This window comes from Homo sapiens, chromosome 12 (genome assembly GCF_000001405.40).
Source record: "Homo sapiens chromosome 12, GRCh38.p14 Primary Assembly".
Classification (NCBI taxonomy): Eukaryota; Metazoa; Chordata; class Mammalia; order Primates; family Hominidae; genus Homo; species Homo sapiens.
Window position 1 is genome coordinate 31,464,171 of NC_000012.12, and position 23,313 is coordinate 31,487,483.

The 23,313-nt window shown below is 41.8% G+C and overlaps 1 protein-coding gene and 2 pseudogenes across 27 annotated transcripts in view, besides 1 other annotated feature; 2 read left to right on the top strand and 1 right to left on the bottom strand.

Moving 5' to 3' along the window:
• Positions 1-23,313, bottom strand: part of DENND5B (DENN domain containing 5B) — a 208,911-nt gene that overhangs the window by 81,945 nt on the left and 103,653 nt on the right. For 18 of the 27 annotated variants that reach the window (XM_047428430.1, XM_047428421.1, NM_144973.4 and 15 more), the window contains one exon: positions 15,419-16,085. In XM_047428430.1, coding sequence (XP_047284386.1) covers positions 15,419-16,085 — 667 coding nt within the window. Of the gene's footprint in view, positions 1-14,904; positions 15,296-15,418; positions 16,086-23,313 lie in introns of those variants that run through there. The other 9 variants (XM_047428429.1, XM_047428424.1, XM_047428427.1 and 6 more) reach the window with 3 other exon arrangements.
• Positions 892-1,736, top strand: LOC100422622 (TAF10 RNA polymerase II, TATA box binding protein (TBP)-associated factor, 30kDa pseudogene; annotated as a pseudogene).
• Positions 13,257-13,882, top strand: MRPL30P2 (mitochondrial ribosomal protein L30 pseudogene 2; annotated as a pseudogene).
• Positions 13,628-13,677: an enhancer, noted in NCBI's record as "active region_6166". NCBI's record gives its function as "activates an Ori minimal core promoter by ATAC-STARR-seq in GM12878 lymphoblastoid cells {active_cell/tissue: GM12878}" and the evidence as "EXISTENCE:reporter gene assay evidence [ECO:0000049][PMID:35858748]".

Below are 23,313 nucleotides of genomic sequence, written 5' to 3' on the forward strand. Positions count from 1 at the left end.
ACATGAGGCTCTTCATGATTTGGCCCTTGTCTGCCTCATTCCTTATCATCACTCCATATGCAGTAAGACCACTTGCTTGCAGTCCATGTTTTCACAGGCCTTGTGCCCCTTGTATATTGTTTTCCTCTGCCCAGAATGTCCCTTCCTCTTGCACTGCCTGACTAGGTTCCACTTTTTCCTCAGGCAATTGCTTCTTTGGAAAGCCTTCCCTAACACTTCTTATTATCACCAGAGTACTATCTACATGCTTCAACAGTACCCTATCTTTATTTCCATCCCAGGAATTATTCATCTCACTGAAACATTACAATTCTATCATAATTCTCTCTTCATGGTCTCTCTTCCCCAATACCCCATCATCTCCTAGAGAGCAATATATGTATTTTTCTTTTTATTTATTTATTTTTGGAGACAGGGTCTCACTCTCTCGTCCAGGCTGGAGTGCAGTGGTGCGATCTTGGTTCACTGCAGCCTCTGCCTCCCAGGTTCAAGTGATTCTCATGCCTCAGCCTCCCGAGTAGCTTGGATTACAGCTGTGCACCACCACGCCTGGCTAATTTTTTGTGTTTTTTGTAGAAAGGGGTTTCGCCATGTTGGCCAGGCTGGTCTTGAACTCCTGACCTCAAGTGATCTGCCTGCCTGCCTCCGCCTCCCAAAGTGCTGAGATTACAGGCATGAGCCACTGTGCCTGGACATATCTGTATTTCTAATCTCAGAATTGTTAACATTCAACATATGACCTACTACATGATGAGTAGCCAGTAAACGTGCTTTGAGAAATTAATATGTTAACATCTAAGGCATGTAAAATGAAATAAAAGTAGACATTAAAAAATTATGCTTGACTATATTATACAATAAAAACATACTGTCAAAAATGTGCCTAGTGATGGCTCTGGCACAGATCCCAAGGTGGCAATGGCCTCTGCTGCCTCAGCCCCTGCCATGCTGTCCACCAGCATCACTGTGGAGAATAAGGTCAGCCCCTCAAGGGCAACAGAGGGGTCTAGGTCTGGACCTGTGGCTGGCGGCACAGGAGCCATGGTGGTGCAGACCAGGAGCTGTGTCTAGCAAGGCTTATGCCCTGCCAAGCACTGCCAATGGAGATGTGAAGCTGCTGGTGGTATCCAGCATGCCTCTGGTGGACTTCCTGATGTAGCTGGAGGATTATACACCTATGATCCTGGATGCTGTGACTGATTATTTTTTATTTTTGAGATGGAATCTCGCTCTGTTGCCCAGGCTGGAGTGCAGTGGCATGAACTTGGCTCACTGCAACCTCCGCCTCCTGAGTTCAAGTGGTTCTCCTGCCTCAGCCTCCCCAGCAGCTGGGATTACAGGTGCACACCACCATGCCTGGCTAATTTTTGTATTTTTGTAGAGACGGGGTTTCACTATGTTGGCCAGGCTAGTCTCAAACTCCCGACCTCAAGTAATCCACCTGTCTCAGCCTTCTAAATGCAGGGATTACAGGCGTGAGCCATGCGCCTGGCCCAATGTGACTGAGCATTATCTGAATTATGTTGGCTTTGAGGTCTCAGACACATGCATAATTTGGCTTATCTCCCTAGTTTCACAGAAATTCATCTCAGGTATTGCCAACAATGACCTACGGCACTAGAAAATGAAAGGCACAGCCTCTGGCAGCTCCTGAAGTAAGAGCAAAGACTAATCATGGAGTACTTGACCCCTGTCCTCAGTATGACATCAATGTGGAGCCACCACACCACCTAAGCCACCCAACCTAAACATGTTTGTCTGTAACAAGCTTCACTGTGACCAAAAAATGTCAAAGAAAGGGCTAATTGTAGATTAAACACAGGTAAAGAGAGAATTCATAAAGCAGGAGACAGATGTGGAGAAATTACCCAGAATGCAGCACAGAGACACACAGAAAATTGGAATGAGGCTGGGTGTGGTGGCTCACGCCTGTAAGCACTTTGGGAGGCCAAGGCGGGCGGATCACAAGGTCAAGAGATCGAGACCATCCTGGCCAACATGGTGAAACCCCGTCTCTACTAAAAACACAAAAATTAGTTGGTCATGGTGGTGCACACCTGTGGTCCCAGCTACTCGGGAGGCTGAAGTAGGAGAACCACTTGAACCCAGGAGGCAGAGTTTGCAGTGAGACAAGATTGCAACACTGCACTCCAGCCTGGCAACAGAGTGAGACTCCATCTCCAAAAAAAAAAGGGTTGAGAGATAATGGAAGATTGAGCAAGACAGATTAACATGTTTAAGGCTGGACACAGTGGCTCATGCCTGTAATCCCAGCACTCTGGGAGGCCACGGCGCGTGGATCACTTGAGGTTAGGAGTTCGAGACCAGCCTGACCAACATGGTGAAACCCCGTCTCTACTAAAAATACAAAAATTAGCTGGGCATGGTGGCATGCGCCTGTAGTCCCAGCTACTCAGGAGGCTGAGACAGGAGAATTGCTTGAACCCAGGAGGCGAAGGTTACAGTGAGCAGAGTTTGCACCACTGTACTCCATCCTGGGCAATAAAGTGAGACTCTGTCTCAAAAACAAAACAACAACAACAACAAAAAAAAGTTTCACTAGAATTTCAGGAGGATTAAAAAAAGATACATGAATGCAATATTTACAAAGATAGTTGAGAATTTTCCAAAATGGGTAAAGGACATTAATTCTTAAATTTCAGGAAACATAATGAACCACAAGCAGAACAAATAAAGCCTCATTCAGATAAATCAGTCAAAATATCACACACCAAAGACAGAAAATCTTAAATATAACCAGAGTTGAAAAGACAGATTTCTGGCTAATGAGTAACAATGAGAGTCATTCATTAGAATGACATTAGAGGTGATGGCTGACTTCTCAACAGCAATACAGGAAACCAGAAGATGATAGAATATTATCCTCAGAGTTCTAAGAGAAAAAAACTTTTAACATATAATTTAACATCCAATGAACTATTTAAGATGATAGAATATTATCCTCAGAGTACTAAGGAAAAAAAAAAAACTTTTAACATAGAATTTAACATCCAATGAACTATTTTTCAAAAACAAGGACAAAATAAGATCTAATAGAGAAAGCTATCTCAGGAAAGGAACTTCTAAGAACACATGTTAGGAAGAAGACTGATCTCAAAAGAAATCTCTAAGATATGAAATAAAATGTGAATTTTCAAAAAATAATAACTGAGGCTGGGTGCAGTGGCTCACACCTATAATCCCAGCACTTTGGGAGGCTGAGGCAGAGGACTGCTTGAGCCCAGGACTTCACGACCAGCCTGGACAAGACAGTGAGACCCCCATCTCTACAAAAAGAAAAAAAAAAAGTAAGAAAAAAATTAGCCCAGCATGGTGGCGTGTGCCTGTAGTCCCAGCTATCAGGAGGCTGAGGCAGTAGGATTGCTTGAGCCCAGGAGTTCAGTCGCATCACTGCACTCCAGCCTAGGCAACAGAGTGAGACCTTATTTCAAAGAAAAACAAAATAAGGTCACTATGAGTAAATTTAAACAAAACCAAGTGTATAGAATAAAAATGTCTAATTTGAGGGATTATTAAAACTGAACAATCATAACAAGTAAGCCACAATGGGCATGGAGTTAAAGCATTTTATAGTTATCTGTGAAGATTCTATAACATAAGAGTAACTGTTCATGTTGAAATCTCAAAATTTATCATTAAGAAAAAGAGCATATAACATCTAAACAGAAAAAACTGCAATGAGAAAAAAATTTAAATCAATTCAAAACATCAAAAACAGAGAGAGAGAGAAAAGCAAGACAAATGGCCAAAATAAATGAAATTTTAAAAATTCTTAGAACTAGCCAGGTATGATGGCTCACACCTCTAATCCCAGCACTTTGAGAGGCCGAGGTGAAAGAATTGCTTGAGCCCAGGAGTTCAAGACCAGCCTGGGCAACATACAGAGACCCCACCTCTAAAAAAAATTTAAAAATTGGCCAGGTGTGGTGGCATGCACCTGTAGTCCCAGCTACAAGGGAGGTTGAGGTGGGAAGATGGCCTGACCCTGAGAAGTTGAGGCTGCCATAAGCTGTGATCACACCACTGCATTCCAGTCTGGGCAACAGAGCAAGACCCTGTCTCAAATTATTTATTTATTTATTTATTTTTAGAATTCAATGATAATGAAAGTATCAGATACTAAGACTTGTGGGATGTAGCTAACACAGGACTCAAGTGCTTAAGATACTGGTTTTGGTGGGCAGGTGGGGAGAAAGAAAGGTTTAATAAGCCCAAAAAAAGTAGTAGAAAGAAGTGAATAATAAAAACAAAACCATAAATTAATAAAACAGAAAACAAAGGTACAACAGAAGATACCAATGAAAGTAAAATCTGGTTCTTTAAAGAGTAATAGGGCTGGGCACAATGGCTCATACCTGTGATCCCAGCACTTTGGGAGGCCAATGCAGGAGGATCGCTTGGACCCAGGAGTTTGGGACTAGTCTAGGCAACACAGTGAGACCCTGTCATTTCAAAAAATAAAAAAAAAAATTAGCCAGGCATGGTGGCACACACCTGTAGCTCCAGCTACGTGGGAGGCTAAGGCAGGAGGATTGCCTGAGCCCAGGGAGGTCAAGACTGCAGTGAGCCTAGATCGTGCTACTGCACTCCAGGATGAGCGACAGGGTGAGGCCCTGTCTCAAAAAACCAAACAAACAAAAGGAAGTAATATAATTGACAAACTTCAGGTAAAAATAATTGGGGGAAAAAGAGAATGCACAAACAGTATTAGGAATGAAAAGGAGGACAAAACTACAGATATAACAGGGGTCAAGAAAACAAGGAAATATTAAGACTTTTTGCTAATATATTGAAAGCTTAATAAAAATTTTCTTAGAGAAAATAGCAAGGAACAAAAATTTATTCAAGAAAAAAATAGAGGTGGCCAGGTGCATTGCCTCAGGTCTGTAATCCCAGCACTTGGGAGGCCGAGGCAGGTGGATCACTGGAGGTCAGGAGTTCAAGACCAGCCTGGCCAACGTGGTGTAACTTGTCTCTACTAAAAATACAAAAATTAGCTAGCTGTGGTGGCATGTGCCTGTAATCCCAGCTACTCGGGAGGCTGAGGCAGGAGAATCACCTGAACCTGGAGGCAAAGGTTGCAGTGAGCCAAGATCACGCCACTGCACTCCAGCCTGGGTGACAGAGACAGACTCCATCTCAAAAAAAAAAAAAAAAGAAGAAGAAGAAGAAGAAGAAATATAGAGGAGCTTCTGGACTGGCAAATACATTAAGGTGCTGGGTAAGTCCAAGGAAAGCATAGCAGTTCTGCACCCACCCCTACACCTTTTGCACCTCTCTTCCATTTGGCTGTTTCTGAGTTGTATCCTTTATAATAAACCAGTTAGCAATAAGTAAAGTGCTTTCTTGAGTTCTGTGAATCATTCTGGGAATTTATAGAACTTGAGGGGTTGGGGGATGGTGTTGGGGAACCCCTGATTTTGTAGTCATCCAAGAAAAAATGTATGTGGCCTGGTGCTACGGTTTGGACATGGTTTGTTGGCCCCAATGTTGGAGGTGAGGTGTTTGGGTCCTGGGGGTGGATCTCTCATGAATGGCTTTGTGCCATTCTCATGGTTGTGAGTGAGTAGTTTTTCACTCTTACTTTCCATGAAAATTGGTTATTGAAAAGAGTCTGGCATCTCCCTCCTCTCTCTTGCTTCCTTCCTCTTGCCATGTGATTCTGGCTCCCCTTCACCTCCTGCCATGAGTAGATGCTTCCCAAGGCCCTCATCAGAAGCAGGTGCTAGCACATGCACAGAACTGTGAGCCAAATAAACCTCTTTTATTTTTCTTTGAGACAGGGTCTCGCTCTGTCACGAGGCTGTAGTGCAGTGACATAATAATGGCTCACTGCAGCCTCTAACTCCTGGGCTCAGGTGATCCTCGACCTCAGCCTCCCAAGTAGCTGGGACTACAGGCATACACTACCATGTCTGGCTTTTTTTTTTTTTTTTTCTTTGGAGATGGAGTTTCCCTTGTTACCCAGGCTGGAGTGCAATGGTGCGATCTCGGCTCACTGCAGTCTCTGCCTCCAGGGTTCAAGCGATTCTCCTGCCTCAGCCTCCCGAGTAGCTGGGATTACAGGCATGCACCACCACGCCTGGGTAACTCTGTATTTTTAGTAGAGATGAGGTTTCTCCATGTTGGTCAGGCTGGTCTCGAACTCACAACCTCAGGTGATCCACCCACCTCGGCCTCCCAAAGTGCTGGGATTACAGGCGTGATACACTGTGCCCGGCCTTATTTTTAATTTTTTTGTAGAGACGGGGTTTCACCATGTTACCCAGGCTGGTCTTGAACTCTTGGGCTCAAGAGATCTGCCTGTCTCAGCTTCCCAGAGTGCTGGGATTACAGGTGTAAGCCACTGCACCAGGCCAAACTTCTTTTCTTTATAAATTAACCAGCCTCAGGTATTTTACAGTAACACAAATAAACCAAGACACCTGATACCTCATTTGTGGCTGGCATCAGAAGTGAGGACAGTCTTGTGAGAATGAACTCTTAAACCTGTGGAGTCTGACATTCAGTTAGGAATGAATTGAACTGTTGGGCATCCAGTTGGTATCACAAATTGACAGGTGTTGGGGAGGAAAGACTCTCTCACTTGGTGTCAGAAAAACTGAGATTTGTTATAACAGCCCAGGCTCATGGAAACCTGTGGTTTGGGAAGAGGGACAATGAGAGGGTGGGGAATTAGGAACCTTTAATTCCTGGGTGGCCACTCATGGGATGGAGCAGTAGCTGTGCTGAGACCATTTACTGAAGGTAAAAGTAACTAATGGAATTTAGAGATGAATCCACCTCCCAGGGAGTGGGATTCACTGGATATATAAGGAAATGCAAACCAACAGAAAAAAGTTAAATATAAAATCCCTTGGTTATTGTTCTATGTAAAAGCTAAAATGAAATTTAAAAGAGTGCTAGGTCAACCTTGATGCTGGACCAAGCTCAGATTTCTGCTGGTCAGGGCGTGACAACTAGCCTCAAAGCCACTCCCAACGGGAAAAATTATGTGGAAACCGCCTGGGCATTTCCTCACCAACACCCTTAGGTATTCTGTAGTTTCTTGGTTTTGTGGTTCCCCCATGTGGAGTACCTTTCTGGTGACCAGAGATCTTAGAGACACTCTTTGTTGTTTCCACATAATTTTGTTGTGTTTGAGAAGGAGTCTCGCTCTGTCACCTAGGCTGGAATGCAGTGGCATGATCTCAGCTCACTGCAACCTGCAATTCTCGGGCCTCAGCCTCCCAAGTAGCTGAGATTACAATCGCACACCACCATGCCTGTATTTTTTTTTTTTTTTTTTTTGTAGAGACAGGGTTTCGTGATGTTGGCCAGGCTGGTCTCACACTCCTGACCTCAAGCAATCTGCCACAAGGGAGGTAGAGATGGAGTTTCACCATGTTGGCCAGGCTGGTCTTGAACTCCTGCCCTCAACAGAAACCAGGGGATAGTATGAAGTCTCATTTTATAGATAAGTATCATCCACTTCCTGATGAATCTCTGCTACAGGAACTAATTTCGAGGCAGTATCTTTATTTTTAAATGCTGCAGCGTGGAAGAACATGCTTGGGTTGACACAGGGCCCACAGCTCACTATGGAACAATCACAGATGGCTATATGTGATCCAGACACAAAGGTGATGATTCAGTCAGAAATGAATTGAACTGTTTTATCCAATCCTTGAGGGACCAGCCAGTCTCAAGGACTGGATAAAAGCTACTCGAAGTCTGTTTACCTTGAGAAGGGAGACTGCCCAATTCCCCCTATAAATTCCAAGTGGAACACCCCAGATGAAGAAGCTGATATGCTCTGCACAAAAGCCACGCAGGACTGGCTTTATGATAATCGGGATATTCACCCGCTGAATACATCCGTTACCCAGGGCAAATGCTGCGGTTAGGGAGGCTCCTTTTATGTGGGCACTCCATGTAACTTTACTGCTTCAAAATCTAACATTACGAGAAGCCTTATTGAATTTGCTATCTCAGCTTACTCTCATCTTACAGATGCTAATAAAAACATTAATAATGAGTCAAAGGACTCAACCCAGCAGGGTGGAAATTTTTAAGTGTCTATTAAGAAATAGGGTGAATAAAACAGACCTTGATGGGACTGAAACAAAAGTCTTTTTTGAGATGGAGTCTTGCCCTGTCTCCCAGGCTGCAGTACAGTGGCACGACCTCGGCTCATTGCAACTTCCACCTCTTGGGTTCAAGCGATTCTCCTGCCTCAGCCTCCCAAGTAGCTGGGATTACAGGGGCACACCACCATGCCTGCCTAATTTTTGTATTTTCAGTAGAGACAGGGTTTCCCTATGTTGGCCAGGCTGGTCTCAAACTCCTGAACTCAGGTGATCTGCCCACCTCGGCCTTCCAAAGCATTGGGATTACAGACATGAGCCACGGCACCCAGCCTGAAATGAAAGTCTTAATATAGCACTACCAAAGGTTGCATGGACTATAAGGACCCTCAGATGGTTTCCCAAAATTAAAGGGCTCAAACAAATCTGCTCTATTTGCCCCAGCACAGAGAAATTTAAAATGTAAGAAGGGAAAGATTACAATTAGAAACATGATCTGGAATTGCTTGGGGATATATAGTAAGGTAAATTAATCAAAATAAAGACTCACAAAAGGGCCAAGATACCTTGCTGAACACCCAAAACCTAATGCACAGGAGTGGGTCAAATAATCAAGGGATGGAGAAGTTTCTGGGACTCATTTGAGAGCCTTATATGCTGTTGCACCAAAATCTTCTAGTGAAGTCTTTTTAAAAAAAAAAAGATAGGGTCTCACTGTGTCACACAGGCTGGAGTGCAGTGGCACAATCTCAGGTTACTGCAACCTCCACCTCCCAGGCTCAAGCGATCTCCCACCTCAGCCCCTGTAGTAGATGAGACTACAGGTGCACACTACCATGCCTAGCTAATTTTTGTATTTTAGTAGAGATGGGGTTTTGCTATGTTGCCCAGGCTGGTCTCAAACTCCTGGGCTCAAGTGATCCTCCTGCCTCAACCTCCCAAAGTGTTGGGATTACAGGCAGGAGCCATTGCCTCAACACAGTGGCTTACAGCCTTAACGCAGGCTACAATTAGAATGATAATATATTAAAGTGTTAAGGTTGATAGGATTAAGGAGGAAGTTTGAATGAAATTGGAATGTTTAAACACACTTTATCTAAATGTTTTATGGGAGTGGATCTTAGGTTTGACTGTTTCACCCCATTTCTCCTACCTAGTACAGTAAAACAGAGGGCACAGTGTCAATCTACCCTTCAAGCATTATTAATTGGACATGCTAAATGGGAATGAATTAGATTGCCTGAGCTCACGCAGTGTAGAACCGAGAAGCTGGAGCACTGGTACAGACAAATTCTCTGTATGTGGAGTGTGGGCTAGGGCTTATGTCGAAAGCCTGCGAGTGCCTCCCAGTGACAACTATCAGGGTGCTGGACTACAGACTTTCCATTTCAGAGGCAACTACTAAGTTTGCTATTGGATATTGATTTAAAGTGCCCCTATGACTGAAGGACATAAAACAATGCTGAAACTTGAAATATCCACGGTATCTAAGGCGATTTTGGAAAAACACTCTAATGGGAGAGGACAGTGCCCAAAAGAGATCCCTATTGAAAAAGAAATGGTTTATACTGGATCTTGTTACCAGAGGAATGCAAGGAAGAGATTCTCACATATAGGGAGCCTCTTTTTCCCTTGGACTGACTTTGGAACTGTAGGAGAACCTTCTGCATTTAATTGTCACTTGGACAATGCCCTATAAATACCTCTCAGTTGACCAGCAAAGTACTGTTTGGTTTATGGATGGCAGTTCCAAGGAGAACTATGATGTCCACTTGAGCATGCCTAGCAATTTGTGATGAGAAAGCTCCCAACTTTTTCAAGAAAACTTTAAGTAGCTTCCACCTTCTGACAAGGTTAATTCACATACAACTCAAAGAGGAATGAAACGAACAGAGGGATGGCAGACAAGCACTGCAAAGGCACACAGGCATGCAGTGTGGTGTGGGTAGTGGTTTATTTCCACTATGAAGAACCAAAGGAGGTAAGCAAGGCCCAAAAATGTTTCTTAGACTTCAATTATTGGTATCAAAAGTTAGACAATGGTGTTTAAATTCCCCTTTTATTCTTCCACTAGTTCTTTGAAAAAAGAATCATACTCTGATTTTCATACTGTGCTGCTCCAGGTATTTCCCAGTTGCAGAACAAAGTGCCCATTTCTGATCTGGGGTCCTAGAAAAGAGCCTTCACATCCTGGGTACATTTTCTCTACTTAGAATTTCTAGCTAGTTACCACTGCAAAGTGACAGTGATATATGCATTTCCTAAATAACAGATTGAATTGGTTTAAATGGGCTGTGGATCAGAATTTCAAATCAGTCTAGAAGGACATTTTCATCACTGAAATCCACCTACTTTGATTCACTTTGGGTTTTCATGGTAACTCTTCAGCACACGCAATGTTTTTAAATTTATGGCATAGCTTTATCAGTGAGTAAGAAATGAAGTATCACATGTTATTAAAACCCCCTTAACACAGTTAAGAAGAGTAAAGGAGGGCACCCAAGTACAAATCAACATAAGGACACCTATTTCATTCATTTAACTGAAATATTTTTCTCTAATAGAAGAGACATTGTCAATATTAAAATCTAGATTTACACAGCGCTTTCATTTTATACTCTACAATTACTTCGCATGACACCTTTACAATAGACCCACAGAATGAGTTAATCATTTAAAAATAAATATTGAGACAGATAAGGAGAGGTTAAGTGCAGTGCCCAATACAGTTAACACAGTGGTTAAGCATCTGAAAAAAGACTGATGAAACCCAATTCTTAGTAGTACTACATTACTTACTAGCTGTATCATCTTGGGCAGATTACTTAGTTTCCCCAAGCCTCAATCTCCTCCTCAACAAAAAATGCACAACAGCACTAACTCACTGCTGTTGAGAGGATTAAATGTAGGGAAAAGATCCAAAATATACAATGCCTTTTTGTAGCACAATTCCTAACATAGAGTGATTTTAGTGAATGGTTATAAATTTACTGTATGGCAATTTTTTGGGGTATGTCACTTTAAATTTTTTAAAAATCTAGCTCTATAATCTCAGGATTCACTCTGTTGTTCTCGGCATACAGATTACAAAAAAATAGAGTATAAAACCATATCCATAAATGCTTATTCTTCTTCATTTGAAACTGAAATAAATTGGTAGATATTAATGAGCTAAAACTCCTGAACAGACTCCACAAACCAAACAGGACAAGCTAAGCAGTGGCTCACACCTGTAAACCCTACACTTTGGGAAGCTGAGGCAGGACGATCGCTTGAGCCCAGGAGTTTCAAACCAGCCTGGGCAGTGTAGTGAGACTTCATCTCCACTAAAAATAAAAAACATTAGTCAGGTATGGTAATGCATGCCTGTAGTCCCAGCTACTCAGGAGGCTGAGGGGTGAAGGTTGCTTGAGCCCTGGAGTTTGAGGTTGCAGTGAGCTACGATCATGTCACTGCATTCCAGCCTGGGCACCAGAGTGACACCCTGTCTCAAAACAAACAAACAAAAAAAGAGCAGAAATAGGAGAGCTCAGGACAGACCACAAACGGTGAGACATAACCTGCTACTTAAAAGAGGAGGTGTGGGCCGGGTGCGGTGGCTTACACCTGTAATCCCAGCACTTTGGGAGGCCAAGGCAGGCAGATCACCTAGGGTCAGGAGTTCGAGACCAGCCTAGCCAGCATGGCAAAACCTCATCTCTACTAAAAATACAAAGAAATTAGCCAGGCATGGTGGTGCGCGCCTGTAGTCCCAGGGACTTGGGAGGCTGAGGCACGAGAATCGCTTGAACCCAGGAGGTGGAGGTTGCAATATGCTGAGATTGCGCCACTGCACTCCAGCCTGGGTGACAGAGCAAGACTCCGTCTCAATAAAAAAAAATAAAAATAAAAAATAAAAGAGGAAGTGTGATAATGGAAGCTTTTGGAGTTTTTTTTTGCCTTCTAAAAAAAGCATGGTATACAATATAAAAGAACATTTATTAGGTTCTCAACTCTGGAATAAACTCTTGACTGTATCATTTAAAAAGGTTTTATGTTAAATGTAGTAATATGTTGAACCTTCACAACTTAGAGATAAGTGTAATTTATAGAAGATTATATGGGACTAATAAAACTAGTAATTATTATAATAGCATCAGCTATCATTTAGTCAGTGTCAATTATACCCTAAGTATTTTATACACGTTTTCTTATTTAATTGTCATAATAGATCAGTGAGAAAGGAGAAAAAAAAAAAACCCAAACTATTATCCCTATAGAGATGTGGCAACTGTCACACAGGAGGATTACCTAACTCGCCCATGGGTATAGTTAATAAATGACAGAGTAGACATTTGAACCCAGGATTGTTATGACTTCAAAAACCAATACTCTAAACCAGGCATGGTGGTATGTGCCTGCAGTCTCAACTACTCGGGACGCTGAGATGGGAGGATGGTGTGAGCTGAGGAGTTTGAGGCTGCAGTGTGCTAAGACTGTGCCTGTGAATACACTGTACTCCATTCTGGGCAACACAGTGAGACCCCATCTCTAAAAATTAAAGGCAAAACAAAAGAACCCACCCACCCCCAATATTCTTTCTAACCCAAATTGCTTCTCTAGGCAGAACATAAATAAATTGAACTTCAAGATTCAAGAAAATGGCCTTTAAGATTTCTTCTAAGTCTAGAATACAAAGTTCTTTTTTTCGGCCAGGCACAGTGGCTCACGCCGGTAATCCCAGCACTTTGGGAGGCTGAGGCGAGTGGATCATGAGGTCAGGAGTTCAAGACCAGCCTGACCAACATGGTGAAAACCCTGTCTCTACTAAAAATACAAAAATCAGCTGGGTGTGGTGGTGCGCACCCATAGTCCCAGCTACTCGGGAGGCTGAGGCAGGAGAATTGTTTGAACCCGGGAGGCGGTGGTTGCAGTGAGCCAAGATCATGCCACTGCACTCCAGCCTGGGCAACAGGGCGAGACTCTGTCTTAAAAAAAAAAAAAAGTTATTTTTTTCTAATGGGCTAAAACACCATAAGGTATTAAGCTCCAAGCCTCTGCCCCTTCTAGCCATTCTCTAATCCCTACTCCATTCAGGGAAATAAAAGGAAGAAAGGAAGAGAGAATTACTTAAGGTAAAATTTTTCAGATACAAAAAGGTGATCTGTAAGTAATAATGGAAGCAGTGAGTCCTCAGCTTCTGCTGGTGGGAAGGTTCATGCTGAATATTTAGCAGGCGCTCTCTCTAAAGAGAACAGCCACCACACTTATGGCAGGGACTTTGCTGTCAGTAGCTCAAGAGGCAAAATGAACTACAGACTGGGACAAAAGGTGTGAAGTCTCTCGTTTACATAGATTGGATTCATCACAAATTTACCAGGTCAAGAATTCCATATAAAGCGTTTCAGCCTTCACTTGCAGATCATGAAAAATATGACGGAGATCCACAGAATCCTCAGAAACTGCATATTGTTACCAGAATAAAAAAGTACAAAAAGGTGTCCATATTGGGAAAAAGACATAATAAAGATGCTCAGATTAGAAAACACACATATCCATCAAGTTCACAAGCATATTGCTTCAGTGAATGCAAAACTGAAAGTGGTTTAACAGTCAGTAAGAATCAAGCCCCTGAAGTTGCCACAAGGATTTCCAACTGAGGAGGACATGTCTAAGCTCTGCCTCAAGAGCACTGGGGAATTAGTGCAGTGGCATCTGAAATCTGTGGAGCAGAAAGCAATTAACTCCTAATGCCCAAGGAGCTTCAGATTAAAAAATGGATTTTTTTTTTATCTAAAGATGATGAGAAAGTGTTTCACTAAAATATATTTTAAATATATACATATAAAAAGAAAGTGGGTGAAAGAAGAAAGGAAAGAATTTAGATTGGTCATTAGAGAATAACTTCCTGACAACAAAAATTGAGACATGAAACACATTATCAAAGAACATTATGTTGGATAAACTGAAGAAAATACAACCTTGTGAACGGCTGTCAACACACAAATAGTGTCAACATACACACAAGATGGGGAAGTACAAATATAGTCTACTTGGCTCAGCCCCACTTATAATTTAAAATAGAAAAATAAAAAAAGGAAAGTGGTAAAATAAGCTTGACGGCACCAGTCGGGATTGCACTACAATTCTGCCAGCTTAAATACAAGTTAGCAAAATGCTAACCCCAGTTGGGTGCAATGCTTCATGCCTGTAATTCCAGCACTTTGGGAGGCCACGGCAGGAGGATCATTTGAGCCTAGGATTTTGAGAGTCCAGGGCAAGACAGTGACAGTCCGTCTCTACAAAAAATAAAAAATTAGCTGATGCGGTGGCACATTCCTATAGTACCAGCTACTCAGGAGGGTGAGGTGGGAAGACAGCTTGAGCACGGGATGTCAAGGTTGCAGTGACCCATGATTGCACTACTGCACTCCAGCCTGGGTGACGGAGTGAGAACTTGTCTAAAAAAAAAAGTGAATCCAAATATTTGTGTAACCTTTTTTGAAGAATCTATCAGTGTACAGGTACTATTTTATAATTTCCTTCAATTCACTATCCATTAAGACATAGCATCTCTATTTTCTCTACACATTCATATTCAGATGACAACTAGTATCCTAGTCTAGGCTCAGCATTAGTCTTCACAAATGTACTGGTAAAATAAAATCCATAGTTTGTTATTTTCTTAATATGTGTTGGAAGAACTTTGAATGAAAGATACCACAAAGATAACTTCCTTCTGAGATTAAAAAACATAAACAAAAAACCACACACACACACACACAACTCTGGCAGAACTGTTAGACCTGGGAAAGTCATCTGTCTCATGCCTGCTCACCTTTTCTCTCACTCAGATGAAATGCTCCCACAGGCAAAGATCCAAAGTTGATTGCCTCAGGAAGCTGCAGAGTCAACAATTTCATTTATCCCTTTTCAATGTTCGCTGAGTTTTGATGTGAACCTTTACTAATCCATAAAGAATGGGAAGTCTACACGTTTCTGGTAGTAACAGAGTTCTCTCACTCTCATTATGATGAAGAAAAAATGTTTTCTTAATGACGATTATATATTATCAGGAAAAAAGGGCTATTTCCATTAATAAATAAATATACCCAAATCAGCCAAGTTAACACTTGTGTTCCTTCCTATTTCTCTCTGCAGTCACTGACTGCCACCTCAAAGAGAAACAGCAGTCTCATCTCAGCCGCTGGTCCCACCATACCTGCTCCCTTTACACAAAACAGAAAAGACTGTGATCATTATTCGGTTCTAATAATATACCCCATGGAAACACAGTAGTTGGGAGCAAAAGTACTTGTTTTTGGAAAATGTAAAATCCAAGGAAAACCTACCTTGTGAGTAGAGAAGGATTTGCATCTCTAAAAGAACACAGGTAAACACCTGCACCAGGTTCTCTAATCCCAGGAGCTCAAATGCCTCCCGAAGGGGGTAATCAGAGAGGGGGAGTTCACTGGGCCCAGGCCTCTGGCAGATGACAGGTTCATAAACACCATAAAATTTCAGTGACCTCCCTGGAGGTGGAAGGGGTACTTCATAAAGAATATTGTGGATATAGCTTTCAAGTGGCAAGGGTGGTGGCTGCTGTGAGGTAACAGCCTTGTAAAGCTGGATAAGGAATTTCTTGCAGGCCTGCATGAATGGTAACGGTGTGATCAAGCATATACTTTTTGAAACATACAGGGTGTCTCTGCTAATATCATAGGAGTTGTATCGCTGGAGTTTCAAAAGGGAAGTTGTATCTCCTTCATCAAGACTACTTGCCAATGAGTCCATACTGCAGGAAGATGAAGCATACACACTGCTGTAATGCTCAGCGTTGTGCATCTGGTAAAGTGTCTGCATTGCTGTGCAGATTTGCTTACTTGTAACTTCTTCATAAAAAGTGAGAACAAAACCATAGGTGCGAGAACCATCTTCCCTGGTAATTATAAATGAGTGAAACTGGGGGTCTTTATTGTCCGTTTGTGTCCTGAAAGATAGCCCTTTAGGCATGCACAACTGTGAAAGAAAGAAAAAAAAAAATCAGAATGCAGTACACAAATAACTTCAAGCCAGAAATAAATGTTGTTTTTTTAACATAACAGGATTCAAAAAGACAGGTTTTATCCAGATTTAATATTCGCAATAGCCTTAAATTAGAAATATATTATAAATTCCTCATACACATGTATATAAAATTATTCTTAAAAGGAGTATATACAAGGGAAAAACTTTTACTGTGTGATGTTACATGCAAGGGGCTTTACTAAGAACAAGAGAATCACTGATTTAGTCCCAGAGTAAACCTCTAACCAAGCTTGTGGCCTTTAGCAAGCCATATAACTTCTGTGAGCCTCAGTTCCTTTATCTACAATAGTTGCTGTATCAACGACTTGAAGACAGAGTAGGCAAAAGCATTTCACAAATATTAAAAAGCACTTCACAAAAATAGTACTCAAGTATTTAATACAGGGAAATAGGAAAAGGCTCATTTAGGAAGTGGAAAAAAGTTAAACAAAGAATAATAAAAACAACAGTGTCATCTTTGCTATTTTGAATAGTATGGTATTTTATCCAAGAAAAAGAAACTTTGGAAATTGAAAGCTTTTTGATCTACTAAAGCAGAAGCACAGAAACAAGGCATTTTAGATTACTTCTAGTAGAGATTATGCTCTAGTTCTTGGGAACTACCCAGGATTGAGGAAACTTGAGAACAAAATTACCCAGAGGAGCTAAAGATGCTATATTTAAGACACTTAAAATGCACAGAAAATTAGAATTGATTCTTTAAAACATTTTAAATAAAAGAAGTGAAATTACAGAAAAGTTGAAATATACTAAGGAAAACAGAACTTGTAATTCAACCATCCTAATACTCATTATTCATATTTAGATATTTCTATTTTTGTATTGCAATATGCTTTTTACATAGAAATAATTTAACCATATATTATTACTATTTTTCTATATTTAATAACTGATGTGGTACAAAATTTAGACTGTCTCCCACATCCCCACATTACCAAGAAAATACAATTCCTTTATTTCTTCATTCAAACCGTCAAAAAACATTTATTAAGTGCCTTTTATGAGAGGGGCCCTATGATACAATGGTGGGAAGGACAGACATGGCCCATGGTCCTATGGTATTTCCAGTCGAGTAAGGTTAACAGGTAAGTTTTAAAAATCATAAACTATAAAGTAAGGGAAGTGCTATGATAGGGTAAATAAGGGTTGCTATGGGAAAAACATATAATAGTAGGAAGACACACATTAGAAAAGAAGGAGCTACCAGGAAAAAATGAAGCCCAACTGAAACCTCAGGACGAGTATAGGTCTTAGTGGATAAAGAAGATTCCAGGCAGAGAGGACATGTGCAAAAGCCCAGAAGAGTTTGAGGAACTGAACAGGTCAGTGTGGGTGGGGCAGAGAATGCAAGGTGGGAGGACGTGAGAGAAAGCAAGAGAAATAATCAGGGGCTAGCCCATGAAGGGCCTTGGTAGGCCATGTTAGAACTGTGGGGAGGACAATGGGAAACCTCTGAAGGGTTTTTAGGAGAGGGACAGAATTAGACGTGCCTCTTAGCACATCCATCTTGGAACACTAAGGGGAGTGGTTTTCAAAGGGGTTCCAAAGAGGCAGCAGGAATGTCTCAGGGCCTTGGAAGGGAGTGAGAGGCTAGAGGAAGAAGTTGAGAGGGCCAGTGTCCCTTCTTCCCCTATGCACATTCCACTTTCATTTATTCTGTAGAGTGGAATTCTTTCAGTGTTAAGATTTCTGGGTTCCCACTGCTTAAAAACAAAATCTTGATGGTGGGATAGGATTAATGCAACACAATTGTCATTAAGCATGAAGGCGGGTGGGTGTCCAAACTGCTCCTCACAGCCATTTCAGATTGTGGTCCTTTCCTTTACCCTAAAAACTATTGGCTTTGAAGCTCATGTCATGATTGTGCCACATTTTGGGTTTCTTTTCTATCCAAGTTCATTTCCAGAGCAACTTCTTCCATGATTTTAAATATACTCTTTCAACTCCCAAATCTACAATCTCATGAACCTGACTCTTAACTGAGTAACTACTTGACAATCCCATCAAGATGTCTAATAGGCAACTCAAACTTACCATGTCCCAAACTGAAGTTCTGATTTCTTCCTCCAAATCAGTTTCTTCTTATATCAGTCTTTTCTGTAATTCCATCCATCTAATTTGCCCAGGACAAAAACCTTGGAGTCATCTTTAACTTCTTCCTCTCTTTCTCACTTACCCCATTATCCAATCCATCAGCAAATATTATCAATTCTATCTTCAAAAATACATGCAGAAACTAATTGCTGTTGCTTCTTTTTTTTTTTCTTTTTTAGAGGTGAGGTCTTGCTCTATCACTCAGGATGAAGTGCAGTGGTACAATCACAGTTTACTGCAGCCTCAAACTCCTGGGTAAAAGCAATCCTCCCGCCTCAGCCTCCTGAGTCAGAAAGTAATTGTTTTGATCTTTACGCTTACCACTCTAATCTAAGTCACCCTCTTTTCTTGTCTGGATGTAACAGCCTGTTTCTGCCCTTGTCCCCCATAATCTATTTCCCTTATAAGAGCCAAAGCAATCCTTAAAAAATATGTTAGATCTTGTCACTCTTGCCAAAATTCTCCAATGGACTCTTATCTCACTAAAAGCTGATGTCCTTATAATGGCCTGCAGGGAAGCCCTGCATGACTCAGCCCCCAACAACCTCTCTGCCCTCATCTTATACTCTCTAACTCACCCACTCTGCTCCAGCAACAATGGCACGTTACTGTTCTATGAACACACCCCGCGTGCTCCCATCAAAATCTGCTCTTCCCTTTTCCAGCAGCTTTCTTCCCCTTGGTATCCACATGACTCATTCCTTGTGGCAGATATAGCTCCAATAATATTTCTACTTTCACACACTCTTCCAAACCTTGACACTTCCCCATTAAGAAGTGGAGCTCACTCTCCTTGAACCTGGGTGGGCTGCTGAGAGTGCCTATACCAGGATCTGGGAAACTTTTTCTATAAAGAGACAGATAAGTATTTTAGGCTCTGGAGGCCATTACAGTCTTTGTCACAACTGCTCCACTCCACATTGTATTAGGTGAGTGCAAAAGTAACTGTGGTTTTTGCATTGTTGGAATTTGCCATTTGACATTGGAATACACTTTTTAAATAAATGTGGTTATAGTATACATCTTTTTTTTTTTTTTCCAAGACGGAGTCTTGCTCTGTCACCCAGGCTGGAGTGCAGTGGCGCGATCTCGGCTCCCTGCAACCTCTGCCTCGCAAGTTCAAGCAATTCTCCTGCCTCAGCCTCCCAAGTAGCTGGGATTACAGGCGTCTGCCACTGCACCTGGCTAATTTCTGTATTTTTAGTAGAGATGGGTTTCACTATGTTGGCCAGGCTGGTCTCAAACTCCTGACCTCATGATCCGCCTGCTTCGTCCTCTCAAAGTGCTGGGATTACAGGCTTGAGCCACTGAGCCTGGACCATCATTTTAATGGGCATTTCTCGCTTTATGTTTTTTTGCTAATGACTTATTACTTGCTGTTTATTTTAGATTTTAGACTGAAAATGTTAGACAAAAAAGCAAATTAGAGCAGTTTTCTTTTCTTTTCTTTTTTTTTTTTTTTTTGAGATAGAGTCTCACTCTGTCACTCAGGCTGGAGTGCGGTGGCGCAATCTTGGCTCACTGCAACCTCCGCCTCCCAGGTTCAAGCCTCAGCCTCCCGAGTAGCTGGGACTACAGGCCTGCACCACCATGCCCAGCTAATTTTGTGTTTTTAGTAGAGACGGGGTTTCACCATTTTTGGCCAGGCTGGTCTCAAACTCCTGACCTCAAGTGATCTGCCCGCCTTGGCCTCCCAAAGTGCTGGGATTACAGGTGTAAGCTACCCGACCCGGCCTCGAGCAATTTTCTTATTCAAGTTCAAAATGGGTCGTAAAGCAGTGGAGACAACCACAACATCGACAATGCATTTGGCCCAGGGACTGCTAACTAACGCACAGTGCAGTGGTGGTTCAAGAAGTTTTGAAAAGGAGATGGCAGCCTTGGAGATGAGAAGCATAGTGGCTGGCCATCAGAAGTTGACAATGATCAATTGAGAGTAATCACTGAAGCTGACCCTCTTCAGCAACATGAAAAGTTGCTGAAGAACTCAACGTCGACCATTCTATGGCCGTTTGACATGTGAAGCAAATTGGAAAGGTGGAAAAACTCGGTAAGTGGGTGCCTCATGAGCTGAGTGGAAATTTTAAAAAATCGTCATCTTGGAGCCAGGTGCGGTGGCTCATGCCTGTTATCCTAGCACTTTGGAAGGCTGAAGCAGGCGGATTGCCTGAGCTCAGTTTGAAACCAGCCTGGGCAACATGGTGAAATCCTGTCTCTACTAAAATACAAAAAATTAGCAGGGCGTGGTGGCATGCACCTGTAGACCCAGCTACTCAGGAGGCTGGGGCAGGAGAATTGCTTGAACCTGGGAGGCGGAGGTTGCAGTGAGCCGAGATTGTGCCACTGAACTCCAGCCTAGGCAACAGAGTGAGACTCCATCTCAAACAAAACAAAACAAAACAAAACAAAATAAAATAAAAGCATCATTTTCAAGTGTCGTCTTCTCTTATTCTACACAGCAACAACGAACCATTTCTCAATCAAATTGTCATGTGCAACAAAAAGTGGATTTCATTAGACAACCGGCGATGACCAGCTTAGTGGCTGAACCAAGAAGAAGCTCTAAAGTACTTCCCAAAGCCAAACTTGCACCAAAAAAAGGTCACGGTCACTGTTTGGTGGCCTGCTGCTGGTTTGATCCACTACAGCTTCCTGAATCCTGGCGAAATCATTACATCCAAGAAGTATGCTCAGCAAATCGATGAGATGCATCAAAAACTGCAAAGCCTGCAGCGGGCACTGGTCAACAGAAAGGGCCCAATTCTTTTCCACAACAATGCCTGACCGCACATCACACAACAAATACTTCAAAAGTTTAACGAATTGGGCTATGCAGTCATGCCTCATCCACCATGTTCACCTGACCTCTTGCCAACTGACCACTTCTTCAAGCATCTCGACAATTTTTTGCAGGGAAAACGCTTCCACAACCAGCAGGATGCAGAAAATGCTTTCCAAGAGTTCATCAAATCCCAAAGCACGGATATTTTACGTTACAGGAATAAACAAACTTATTTCTCATTGGCAAAAATGTGTTGATTGTAATGGTTCTTATTTTGATTAATAAGGATGTGCTTGAGCCTAGTTATGATTTAAAATTCTGTCCAAAACCACAATTACTTTTGTACCAACCTTTAAACACGTAAGTATGGTTTTGTTCCAACACAATTTTATTTATAAAAACAGTCAGCTGGACAGATTTGGCCTGGGGGCCATGTATGCCCACCCCTGGCCTAGTCAAGTAAAATGCAACAGCAGTGACAAGTGACAGAGTGACTTTTGAGCAGAGGCTAAAAAAGGCAATACAGCTTCCATCTCCTCTCTCTCTCTCTCTCTCTCTCTCTGGTAACCTGGTAACACACTCTGGGAGCCCTGAGGCAACATATAAAAAGTTTAGCTAGCCTGAAGCTGCCTGACTGGTGAGACCAAATGAAAGACCACACAGAGACAGAAGGAGCCCTAGCTATATGCCTGGTCCAGGAGACAGGCCTGTGAGTGGGTGAGCTTTCAGATGATTTCAGTCCTCAGACTTCAAACCTTCCAAACTAACACCAAGTAGAATACAGGCGCAGCCAACCAAAAGCTACCTACATTGCAGATATGTAGGCTAAGTAATGATTTTGTTGCTTTAAATCAAGGGTCAGCAAACAACAGCCCTGCTATGGGTTTAAATATATGTGTGCCTCCAAAATTCATATGCTGGAACATCACTTCAGGGTGACGGTATTAAAAGGTGGGGACTTTTGGGAAGTGATTAAGTCATGCAGGCTCTGCCCTCATGAAAGGATTCGTCCTTCTTATAAAAGGTTGAAGGGAGCAGCACCCTAGTGCTTTCTGCCATGTGAGGATACAACATTTGTCCTCTCTGGAGTACACAATAACAAAGTACCATCTTAGAAGCAGAGACTAGGCCATCATTAGACCCTAAACCTACAGACACCTTGATCTTGTACTTTCAACCTCTAGAACTGTGAGAAATAAATTCTTATTCCTTGTAAGTTACTCAGTCTGAAGTATTTTATTTTAGCAGGAGGAATGGAGTAAGAAAAACCCTTAGGTCAAATACAATCTGCCACCTGATCTGTAAATAGTTTCACTGGGATTCAGTCACAACCATCCACTTATGCACTGTCTATGGATGCCTTCACACTACAACAGCAGAGCTGGGTGACTGTGGCAGAAACTGTATGCCCACAATACCTCAACTACTTATTATTTGGTTCTTCATGAAAAAAATTGCCAAGCCCTATTTTAAGCCATTAACTGGTAGGCGGATGGATTGTCATGCAGCGATAGATAATCAAAATACTTCCTTACTTCCCTTAAGTCTCTACATAAATACTACCTTAGAGAGGTCTTCCTTTACCTTTCCATAAAAAATAGTGTTCTCTTCATCTTTTGCATGCCATAAAATGTTACTCCTCTAAAAAGTATTTATTGTGGAGAAGCAATTAAAGTCTTGCACCACTGTAAACATATGTACATTATATAAACATACACATTACTAGTATTGTATAATTCTGTTTGATCTCTACATTGCCAGCTACTCAAGGGCTAGTACTTCATTTCAATAACTTTAAACATTCAAGGGAACTGCAATGGAATAATATACCATTTGGGGCCATAACAGGTGGTGACTGATAACATGGGTAAAAAGAAAAAACTGTGAAGCTCAGCATTAGTGCACCAGTGAAAATGTCTTCATATTTCATATCATTGAATATGAGATGTGGAAAGGACTAAGGCAGATTTACTCAATTCTTTTACATATTAAATTACTATGTATATTTGGATAGAATGAGATATAGACTTAGGTAAAACCTATGAATACCTGGATTTGGTAGGGGGTAAAAGCCACTTATTCCTAGTCTTAGGAATAACTGTATAAGGAAAGGCTATGGCAGAATCTTTTAATAATTCTACGTTCACATTAAGGCTGATTTCATCATAACAAGTTAATGAGTTGCTCTGCTGATAGCATGAATAAAAACTCATTTGGCTGGGTGTAGTGGCTCACACCCATAATCCCAGTACTTCGGGAGGCTGAGACGGGTGGATTGCCTGA